The sequence below is a fragment of the Homo sapiens genome, chromosome 11 (assembly GCF_000001405.40).
Source record: "Homo sapiens chromosome 11, GRCh38.p14 Primary Assembly".
NCBI lineage: Eukaryota > Metazoa > Chordata > Mammalia > Primates > Hominidae > Homo > Homo sapiens.
In genome coordinates this window covers 2,595,855-2,608,327 of record NC_000011.10, presented here as the reverse complement: position 1 = coordinate 2,608,327, position 12,473 = coordinate 2,595,855, and the positions used below count along the sequence as shown (strand labels likewise).

The 12,473-nt window shown below is 38.0% G+C and overlaps 1 protein-coding gene across 5 annotated transcripts in view; it reads right to left on the bottom strand.

Annotated features, from left to right (window-relative positions):
- Nucleotides 1-12,473, bottom strand: part of KCNQ1 (potassium voltage-gated channel subfamily Q member 1) — a 404,098-nt gene that overhangs the window by 240,778 nt on the left and 150,847 nt on the right. The window lies entirely within an intron of this gene.

The following is a 12,473-nucleotide window of genomic DNA, read 5'->3' as shown; positions in this document are numbered from 1 at the left end:
AGAAATAAGTAGAAAATGTGAATGGATCTGTAATAAGTTAAAGAGATTGAATTAGTTATGAGAACACTAGTTGAAAAGAAAAGCCCAAGAGGGCCAGATGAGTGAATCTAACAAATATCTAAAGAATATCAATTCTTTATGACCTCTTCCAACAACAAAAAAATAGAAGAGAAGGAAAATTTTTCCAATACATTCTTTCAGTCCAGTATCACCCTGACACCAAAACCAGACAAAAACATGAAAAGAGAACTTATAAAATTTATTTTACCCATTTTAGGTATATAGTTCTGTGGCATTAGGTAAATCCACGCTATTGTGCTTTATGCTTTCTTGATGTTGTAAATAGAATTGTTTTCTTATTTTCAGATTGTTTTTGACAGTGTATAGGAATACTATTGATTTTTGTATTTCATTACAATAACTGTGATGAAAATGATGTAAAACCCTCAAAACCCTCAACAAAATACTAGCAAGTAAAATCAAGCAATGTTTAAAAAGGATTATACATTATAACCAAATGGGACTTATTTCAGGAATGCAAGGTTGAATTAACATCTGAAAATCAATTAATGTAATACACCATTATCAACAGAATAAAAGACAAAACACCACGATTTCTGTCAGTCTGTTCAGACTGTTATAACAAAGTATCACGAACTGGTGGCTTATAAACACAGAAATTTATTTTTTGCAATTTTACAGGCTTGGAAGTCCAAGGTCAAGGCACTGGCAGATTCAGCATCTGGAGAGGACTCGCTTTCTGGTTCATGAACAGTTGTCTTCTTGTGTCCTCATATGACGGAAGAAAAAAAGGAGCTCACTGAGGTCTCTTTTACAAGGGCACTAATCCATTCCATGAGGTCTCCACCCTCATGACCTAACCACTTCCCAAAGGCCTCACCTCCTAATACCAACATTGGGGGTTAGGATTTCAACATATACATTTTGAGGAAACACACACATTCAGTCTATAGCAATTAATGATAGAATAAAAGACACAGAAAAGCATTTGGGTGATAAAATTCAACACCCTTCCATGATGGGAGAAAAAGCCCTACTCAATATACTAGGAATAGAAAGGAACATCCTCAACCTGATAAAGGGCATCTATTAAAAATCACAGTTGGCCGGGTGCAGTGGTTCACACCTGTAATCCCAGCACTTTGGGAGGCCGAGGCGGGTGGATCACGAGGTCAGGAGATCGAGACCATACTGGCTAATATGGTGAAACCCCGTCTTTACTAAAAATACAAAAAAATTAGCCAGGCATGGCAGCATGCGCCTGTAGTCCCAGCTACTCGGGAGGCTGAGGCAGAAGAATGGCGTGAACCTGGGAGGTGGAGCTTGCAGTGAGCCGTGATCACACCACTGCATTCCAGCCTGGGTGACAGAGCGAGACTCTGTCTCAAAAAAAAAAAAAAAAAAAAAAAAAAAATCACAGATAATATCATACTTAACAGTGAATGACTGAATGTTTCCCCGTTAAGATCAGGAATGAGACAAAGAGATCTGCTCTTTCCACTTCTATTCAACATTTATTGAGTGTTCCATCCAGGATAATTTGGGAAGAAAAAGAATCCAGACTGAAAGAAAGAAGTAGAACTATTTGGAGATGACATAAATTTGTGCTGGTCCAGTTTTGTGTTACTATAAAGGAACACCCGAGGCTGGGTAATTTATAAAGAAGATTTTAATTGGCTCACAGTTCTTCAGGCTATACAGGAAATATGGCACCAGCACCTGCTCCTGGTGAGGGCCTCAAGAAGCTTACAATCATGGCGAAAGGCAGAGGGGCAGGCATATCACATGGCAAGAGCAGGAGCAAGGTGGAGGGAGGTAGCAGATTCTTTAAACAACCAGCTCTTAGCATAAACTACCAGAGTAAGAATTCGCTCATTACCACGGGGATGGTACCAAGCCATTCACGAGGGCTCCGTCCATGATCCAGACACCCCCCACCAGACCCCACCTCCAACATTGGGAATCATTTTAATGAGATTTGGAGGGACCAAACATCCAAACCGTATCAATGTTGTATACAGAAAACCCCAAGGAATCCATTGTGAAACAATTACAACGAATGAGTTCAGTAAGGCTGCAGGAGACAAAATCAGTATATAAAAATCAATTGTATTTCTACACACTGTCAAAAAACAATCTGAAAATATAATTAAGAAAACAATTCCATGTATAACATCAAAAAAGAATAAAGCACAACAGTGCGAATTTACCTAATGCCACATAACTATATACTTAAAATGAGTAAAATAGTAGATTTTATGTATATTTTTACCATAATAAAGAAAAAATAAAATACCTTGGGAATAAGTTTAACAAGTACAAAACTTATCCTCTGAAAATTACAAAACATTGTTGAAAGAAAAGAAGATACAAATAAATGGACAGACATTACATGCTCATAGACTGGAAGACTTAATATTGTTAAGATGGCAACACTCCCGGAATCGTGCTGATCTACAAACTCAACACAATCCTTACCAGAATCTCAGCTGGTTTCTTTGTAGAATAATAAGCTGATGTTCAACTTCATATGAAAATGCAAAGGACCCAGAATAGCAACAATTTTGAAAAAGAAAAGTTGGAGGCTTCATACTTCCTGATCTCCAAATTGACTACAAAGTAACAGTATTCGAGAAAATGTGATACTGGCATGAGATAGATATGTAGATCAAGGGAATAGAATCAGAGTGTAAAAACGGAGCCATATATCTATGGTCAATTGATTTTTGACAAGGATGCCAAGAATGTTCAATGCGGAAAGAATAGTCTTTTGAACAAATAGTGTTGAAACAACTGATATCCACATGAGAAAAATCAATTGGTCCACTCCACATCATATATAAAAATTAACTCAAAGTGGATCAAAGACATAAATACGTAACAGATAAAGCTATAAAATTCTTAGGGTAAACATAAGGGTAAATCTTTATGACCTTGGATTTGGCAGAGGTTTCTTAGATATAACACCAAAGAACAAGGAACAAAAGAAAAAAAGTAGATATATTGGACTTCATAAAAATTAAAAGCTTTTGTGCTTCAAAAGACACCTTAAAGAAAGTGAAAAGACAACCTACAGATGGGAGAAAATATTTGCAAATAATCTATCTGATAGGGGACTTGTTACTGGATATATAAATAACTCCTTCAACTCAAAAACAAAAAGACAAATATCCCAACTTAAAGAATGGATGAAAAATCGGAATAGAAATTTCTTCAGGGTTGACATATAGTTAATAAACACATGAAAAGATGCTCAACGTGAGTAGTCACAGGGAAATGCAAATCACACCCAAAAGGAGATACTGCTTAACAACCACTAAGATGGCTATAATTGAAAAAAGATAATAGCAAGTGTTGGTGAGGATATGGAGAACTTGCGCAGTGCTCATATGCTGGTGGTGAGAATGTAAAATGAGGCACCCACTTTGGAAATAATTGGTCAGTTCTTCAAAAAGATAGTTATCGGCCAGGTGCTGTGGCTCACACCTGTAATCCCAGCACTTTGGGAGGCCAAGGCGGGTGGATCACGAGGTCAGGAGATCGAGACCATCTCGGCCAACATGGTAAAACCCTGTCTCTACTAAAATACAAAAAATTAGCTGGGCATGGTGGCATGTGCCTGTAATCCCAGCTACTTGGGAGGCTGAGGCAGAGGAATCGCTTGAACCTGGGAGGTAGAGGTTGCAGTGAGCTCAGATCGCGCCACTGCACTCCAGCCTGGCGACAGAGCAAGACTTCATCTCAAAAAAAAGATAGTGATCATTTGACTCAGCTTTCCACTCCCATGTGTTTTCATATCTCTTTCTTTTCTTCCTTTCTTTTTGTTTTTTTGAAACAGTCTTGCTCTGTTGCCTAAGCTGGAGTGCAGTGGCACAGTCTCGGCTCACTGCAACCTCTTCCTCCCGGGTTCAAGCAATTCTCTTGCCTCAGCCTCCCGAGTAGCTGGAATTACAGGCACCTGCCACCATGCCCAGCTAATTTTTGTATTTTTAGTAGAGATGGGGTTTCACCATGTTGGCCAGGCTGGTCTCGAACTCCTGACCTCAGGTGATCCACCTGCCTTGGCCTCCCAAACTGTTGGGATTACAGGTGTGAGCCACCAACACACCCAGCCTTTCATATCTCTTTCATGCCCAGGAGATATGAAAACACATGTCCACACAAAAACCCACATGTTCTAGAAGCATTATTCATAGTAGTCAAAATGTGGAAACAATCTAAAATGCTTATCAACAAATAAATGGATAAACAAAATGTTTATTCATTGTATATCATACGATGGAAGATTATTCATTCATAAAAGAATGAAGCACAAGGGCCGGGTGCAGTGGCTCACGCCTGTGGTCCCAGCAGGTTAGGAGGCCGAGGTGGGCGGATCACCTGAGGTCAGGAGTTCGAGACCAGCCTGGCTAACATGGCGAAACCCCGTCACTACTAAAAATACAAAAATTAGCCGGGCTTGGTGGTGCGTGCCCGTAATCCCACCTACTTGGGAGGCTGAGGCGGGTGAATTGCTTGAACCCGGGAGGCGGAGGTTGCAGTGAGCCGACATCGCGCCACTGCACTCCAGCCTGGGCGACAGAGGGAGACTCTGTCTCGGGGAAAAAAAAAGAAGCACTGAAGCACAAACCTTGAAAACATGATGCTAAGTGAAAGTAACCAGTCACAAAGGACCATACATTGTATGATTCCACTTATATAAAATGTCCAGAATAGGCAAACCCATAGAGAGAAAGATTAGTTATTGCCTAGGGCTGAGGGGGATGGAATAGTGGGTTTGGGGGTGATATTTAAAAGGCACTGGGTTTCTTTTTGGAATGATAAAAATGTTCTCAAACTGGAGTGGCAGTTGCACAGCTCTGGGGATACACAGGCACACTTCACTTTTTTGCACTTTGTGGATATTGTGTTTTTAAAAAATTAAATGTGTGTGGTAAGCCTGCACTGAGCAAGTCTATCAGTGCCATTTTTCCAACAACATGTGCTCACTTCATTCTGGGTCAGCATTTTTTAGCAATAAAGTGTCTTTCAATTAAGGTAGGCACATTGTTTTCTTAGACATGGGGCTATTGCACACTTAATAGACTACAATATAAACATAACTTTTATATGCAGTGGCAAACCAAAAAATTTGTGTGACTTGCTTTATTGCAATATTTGCTTCATTGCAGTGTACTGGAACCGAACCACAATATCTCTGAGGTATGCCTATACTAAAAACCATTCAATTATATTCTTTAAATGGGTGAATTGTATGGTATGTAAACTATATCTCCACAAGGCTGTTAGAAAAAAGCTATAGCAGAAGATATTTGGGGTCCAGGGCCAAAGACTTCTTAGACCTGACATCAGAAGTGTAATCCATAAAAAGGAAACATTGAATCTCATCAAAATTTAAAATGTTTGCTCTGTAAAGTACCCTGTTGAGATGATGACAATGAAAGCTACAATGAATAAATATTTGCACCCTGTTTCTGACTTAAGATAAGTATCTAGAATATATAAACATCTCCCAAAACTCGACAGTTAACAAAAAGTCTAATTGGGAAATGGAAAAATGATATCAACAAGAATTTCACTGCATAGAATACAAAAATGGCAAACAGGCACATGAAAAGATGTTCAGTATCATCCTAATGAGGAAATGTAAATGTAAACCACAATGAGATCTCACTACACACCTATCTGAATGGAGAAAATTAAAAACAGTGTGAACATCAAATGCCAGCAAGAATGCAGAGAAACTAGATCACTTAGACCTTGCTGGCAGGAATGGGGAATGTGAAATGGTGCAGTCACTCTGGAAAATCAGTTTGGTAGTTTCTTATAAAACTAAACATGCAACTGCCACACAACTCAGCAATTACAAGCTTGGGCTTTTATCCCAAAGAAATAAAAACTTATGTTCACACAAGAACCTTACAAGAATATTCATGTCATCCTTATCAATGTATAAGGTTCCCATGGCTGCTGTAATACATTTCCACAAACTTAGTGGCTTAAAACAAGACACGCTTTTTTTTTTTTTCTCACAGTTCTAGAGGCCAGAAGTCTGAAAAGAGTCTTAGGGGACGAAAAATCAAGGTGTCAGCAGGGCTGGTTCCTTCTGGAGGCTTCAGGGGAGCATCCCTTCCCTTTCCTTGCCTTTTCTTCTGGAAGCGTTCTTTGGTTTGTGACCCCTTCCTCAAATCACATTGCCATTTCCTGCCCCTGCTTCCGTGGCCACGTAACCCTTTTTCTCTTCTGTAGTCATTCTTCTGCCTCCCTGTTATAAGGACCCTTGTGATTACACCGGGCCCATTCAGATAACCCAGGATGATCTCTCCATCTCAAGGTCCTTAATTTGACACATCTGCAGAGTGCCCTTTGCCATAGAAGGCGATAGTCACAGGTTCTAGGCGTTAGGACCTGGCTACTTTGGGGGCCATTGTTCAGCCTACTCTGATTTGTAATAGCCCAAACTGGGAATGACCCACATGTCCTTGGATGAGGGAATGGTTAAATAAACTGGGGTATATGTCCATACCGTGAAACTCCACTCAGCACTATGATTTAATGAACTGTCGCGATACAAAACAACCGGAATGAATCCAGAGAATGATGCCGAGCCAAAAGACCCCGTTTCTAAGATATCGTGTATTGTGTGATTCCATTTACGTGGCATTTTTGAAAAGACAAAACTAGAGAATCAGAGAACAGATGAGTGGTCACCAGGGATTGGAGGGATGGGATGGGAGAAAGTCCGTGTAAAAGGACAAATAATGGGAACCCCGTGGCGACGGGAGCACTCTGCATCTGGACTCTTGCTGTTGACATCCTGGTTATCATATTGTGCTATGGTTTTAGAAGATGCTACCACTGACGGAAACTAACTAAAGGGTGCATGGGATCCCTATTATTTCTTACCACTGCATATGAATGTCTAAAAATAAAAAGCTTGAAAGTCTCATTTTTTTAAACGGGCAAAAGATCTGAATAAATATTTCACTAAAGAAGATACACAATTGGGCACTAGGCACGTGGAAAAATGCTCAGCATCATTAGGAAAATGCAAATCAAAACCACAATGAGGTAACCATTCCAACTGGACAGTATTTTTTTTTCTTTCTGTACTTTCGTGGAAGGGGTGCTAGAGTTGGAAAATGATCATTTTTGCAACTACCACAGTAAAGCCTGGTTTCCAAAAGCATTTAAATCTGGAGAGACTTTTTTTTTTTTTTTAACAAGTAGCAGGGTATATGCATGGCCTTAAAGAATCTCCCCCGATTGTTTATTGGTTGCAAGGCAAAATATAGTAACTGTAAGGTAGAAAAGTGGATAACGGCCTCAATTTGGTGATCAAAATAACATCGTTAATAAGGGGCAGATACACTGTGTGCCTCAGGATGTGATACACTGAGAAGGACATCAGGTCACTTACAGAGTACACAACGTGGATCTAACCTGAGGAAACATCAGACTCCCCCAAGAAGTGGCAGGACTGTATCTTTAAAAAATATCAGTGTCATAACAGAGAAAGAGACTAGAAATGTTCCAGATTAAACAAGACTGAAGAGACACATCTAAAGGCAGTACTGACCCTGAACTGGATCTTGCAGTGGAGGAAAAAATGCCACAAAGGACATTGTCATGGCAACTGACAAAATGGGAACATAGGCATTAAATTAGGTCCAAGTATTATATTGATGTTTAATTGCAGAAGTCAATAACTGTATTACTGCTTTCAAAGATAATATCTTTATTTTTCAGAAATACACAGCAAAATGTTTAGGGGCAAAGAGCTGTGGAGTATGCAACTCACAGATGTTTCAGAAAAACATGTTATGTGAATATAATGTAGAGAAAGGGGTTCAAATGATAAAGCAAATGTGGCAAAATGTAACAATTAGTAAACTGGTAAATCTTAGTGAAGGGTATGTAGGTGTTTTTATATCTCGTGCTTGTAATTTTTCTGTAGTTCAAAATTATGGCCAAATAAACAGTTTGTTTTGTTTTAAGAAACAATCCTGAGGGACTGCTTTAGCTCAGCAGGTCACAACTGGGGGCAATTTTGCCCTCCAGGGGACATGTAGCAACATGTGGAGATGTTTTTGGTGGTCATAACTGAGGCCGGAGATGCTGCTAAACATCCTGCAATAGACAGGACTTCCTCCCTCAACAAAGAATTATCCGGCACTAGATTTCAATAGAGGTACAGTGGAGAAACTCTGCCCCACTTGGCTGACAATAAGTCACTCTGCCAGGACTGGTGGGCAGGAATGCCGGCCGGGAAAGAGGAACCCTGCCTGTGGAATTCAAGGTCAGACAAAACGAGAAAAACAACCTGGCTACATCACTGAAATTAACAAGCCTATTCCTGTGTCACGGGCTGAATTGTGTCCCACAAGGTTTGCAGTTGAAGCCCTGGTCTTTAATACCTCGGCACGTGACTCAGCATGTTTGGAGACAGGACCTTTAAAGAGGTGATGAAGCTACAATGAGGCTGTTAGGGTGGGCCCTAATCCAGTGTGACTGGTGCCCTTAAAGAAAAGGATATTTGGACACACAGAGAAACACCAGGGTGCAAGTGCCCAGAGCAATGGTCATGTGATGACACAGGAAGAAGGCGGCCATCTGCAAGGCAAGGAAAGAGGCCTCAGGGAAAGCAGCCTTGCTGACACCTTGATCTCAGACTTCTATCCTCCAGAATTGTGAGAAATACATGTCTGCTGTCTAAGCCACCCAGCCTGTGGTATTTTGTTATGGCAGTCCTAGCAAACTAATACATCCTGGAAAGTTAACACATAGAAATAAAAGTTCTGTACATAGAAACAGGTTCAAGAACCTATGTTCTTGAACAAAATGAATTTTAAGCGATAGAGAACATCACAGAGTATGTACACCAAAGGAAATTAAGCAGAGATTATAAATTTTAGAATAGAATTGAAATAGAAATAAAATTCAATTAGAGATAGAATTAAATCAAAATAAAATTGTTTCAGCAGCCTTAGAGGCATTTTTACTATTTTACTGATTGAGAAAAACAAGATGCAGAAAGCAGGTATGATATGATCCCGTGAGTTTGGAAAACAATGATAATGCCTTCATTATGTCACATGTATTTTATTTCATTGAATATTATATGAACATCAGGAAAAATGTAAGACAACAAATCCTAGATTATCAACATAGGTAACAGAGAGGAGGGGAGCCCAAGCAAACATAAGAAAAAAGTTCTGTACTGAAACACATCTATTCCATTCTACTCATCTGTAAAGTTAAAGTGTGAATATTGGAAAGTAATACAACATTAAGGACACTAAAAGAAAGAATAGCCCCTATTCAGATCTGGTATTGATAGAGCCTGAGGCCAATTTGGCAGCAGACAGAGACACAAGACTGTTTGCTGCATATGGGTCCTGGGTGAGCACTTACATGTTCTAACTCACTCAGTCAACACAGGAGTCCTGGGAGCAGGCAGTTAGGATCCTGATTTCACAGATGTGGAAACTGAGGCACAGAGAATGCAGTAGCTTGCTTAGGGCCACATAAGAAAATGGCAGAGCTGGGCTATGACCCTAAAGAAGGTTGGCCATATAGGCTGTGCTCCAAACCACTCCATGAAACCTGCCACTCAATTTTTAGAAACATAATTGTACAGGAAGATTTAATTTTCCTGTCTCAGAATTTGGCAGATGTATTAGGGTTTTTTTTTTTTAACTAAGGGCAGAGCAGACCTAAATGAGGCAATGAATAAGTATGTATACACAATCCATCTCAATGTACATTTTGTCTGTCCATGTATACAAATAAAACTTTGTGTTATACAAATACAGAAGATATTTTCTGAGGTCTGTGGAGCATTTACAAAAATAATGATGTTATTTTCATACTTGGAGACAAAGAAAATCTTCATTTTAAAAAAAGTGGAGACTTCATAGGCTACATCCTTTCACTGTAAGCCTACTAAATTAGAAATAAATAACAGTGATAAAAATTTACTGCTTAAAAATTAAGAAGACATTAAAAGAACTCTAAAGAGAAAAATCAAAACACAAAATTAAAACTATCAAGAAAGCAATGAAAAGGAACATATTTCATAATCAGATCTACGTGTCACAGCTAAAGCTGCAATCAGAGGAAAATTTATAGCCTTTAAAAATGCCTTTAGTAGAAGAACTTCAAATAAATGAACTATGACTCTTAAGTAAAAGAAAACAAAAATAGAGTTAGCCAAGAAAAGGGAATTAATAGCTATAAAAGCTTAGATTAATGAAATAGATAACAAAGAGTACAAAGATAGTTTTCTGATAATAAAATATAAATAAAACATAAATTTCTCATGTGCTTGATTAAGAAAAAAGGAGAAAAACCACAAAAGTTCAGGCATAAAGGAAAAGAAAAACGAAGAGATGATAGAGAAGACCATAAAATCACTAAAGGAAAAAATCAGTTGCTACCAAGTGGCAACACAATTGAAATGCTTGAGGAAATTAAATAGCAATGAATAAATTACTCCAAAAGATGCAATAAACTAATTTAGAACAACATATCATAAAACAGACTAAAAAGAAATTACTAAAGATATCCTATAAAACATGTATCAGGCCCAGATGGTTTTACAACTCAATTCTATTTAACCTCTACAGAAAAGATAATCCCAATGTTCTTCAAACAGTTCCAAGACACAGAACAAGGAAGGTAGATAAAACTTTGTTTTGTAAACCATTGTATTTGCCCCCACATGATGGCAGATTTCATACTCTTCTGAAAGATGTACTGTTATTTCTAGGATCAGATATCAGGGATGTCCTGCATCAGTGATGAGAGTGAAGCTTCACAGTTTTGATGGCTGTTTAACGGAGATATGATACTTGAAGCAGACCTCCACTGATGGGTATGTCGGTGGTTTGCAATTTTTTGCTATTTAACAATTGCAGAAATCAATATCCTGATGATGGATTATTTTGCAAATGTGTAAGATATGTGTAGAATAAATTTCTAGAATGATTCAAAGGCATATGCATCTTTAATTTTGATTGAAATTGCCTTATTTATCTCCACAGAGGTTTGTATCAATTTATTTTTCTAACATCAATGACTGAGACTGAGAGTTTCCATGTACACATACCCATAGAGTGTTATCAAACTCTTTGATATTTAATAATCAGATAAGTTTCAAAAACCCCATTGCTTTAGTTTGCATTTCTCTTGTCATAATTGAAGTCATCCAGCATATTTTCATTCTTAAGAATTATTGGTATTTCCTTTTCTGTGAACTGTTTTAATATCCTTTAACTTCTATCTTGATTTACAAGAGCGTTTTTATATAGCAATTAAATTAGCCCCATGCCTATAGGTGAGTGGCAACTGGTTTCTTTAGGTTATCAATAAAAAATTATTTTCAGTATGTTTTTTTGCTATGCAAAATATATATTATATATTTACATTATATATTATAAACAGTTTTATTGAGATATAATTGACATAACTTGCTTATGTTTAAAGTGTGCAATTTGGTAACTTTTGACACATGATGAAACCATCGCCATGATTATGATAATGAACATATCCACTGCCCCAAAAGTTTTTTTGTGCCCTTTTGTCCTTTTCCCTCCTACTACTACCCCTGATCCCCAGGTAACCACTGATAACCACTGACTTGTTTGTCACTCTATATTAGTGGTCATTTTCTAGATTTTTACATAAATAAGATACCATGTACTCTTTTTTTTTTTGTCTGGCTTCTTTCACTCACCATAATTATGTTGCAATGTATCCATATTGTAGGCATATCAGTGGTTCATTCCTTTGTATTTCTAAGTAGTATTCCATTTTAGGAATATACTACAACTTTGAAAAAAATCTATTCAAATGTTGATGGGTATTTGGGTTGCTTCCAGTTTGGGGTTTCCAGTTTTTATAAAGCTGCTATGAATATTCCATGTACAAATGGTGGCATGCATATGATCTTATTTCTCCTGGATAAATACCTAGGAATAGAATCGCTGTAGAATATGGTAGGTATGTATTTAACACATCAAGAAACTGCTGAACTGTTTCCCAAATGGTTGCATCGCTTTGGACTTTGCATTCTCACCGGGAGCATATGAGAGTTCCACCTCCGACACATCTTTACCAACACTTGGTATCATCCATCTCCCTCATTTTATATAATATAATAATTGGGCCGTGGTATTTCATTGTGTTTTTTATTTGCATTTCTCTAATAACTAATGATATTTCAGCCACATCTTCAGGCTCCACTTCTAATTCTAGTTCTCTTGCAGTTTTCACAACATCAGTAGTTACTTCCTCCACTGAAATCTTCAACCCCTCAGTCATCCATGAGGGTTGGAATCAACTTTTTCCCAATTCCTGTTAATGCTGATATTTTGACGTTCTTCCATGAATCACTAATGTTCTTAATTTCATCTAGAATGGTGATTATTTTCTAAAATGTTTTCAATTTA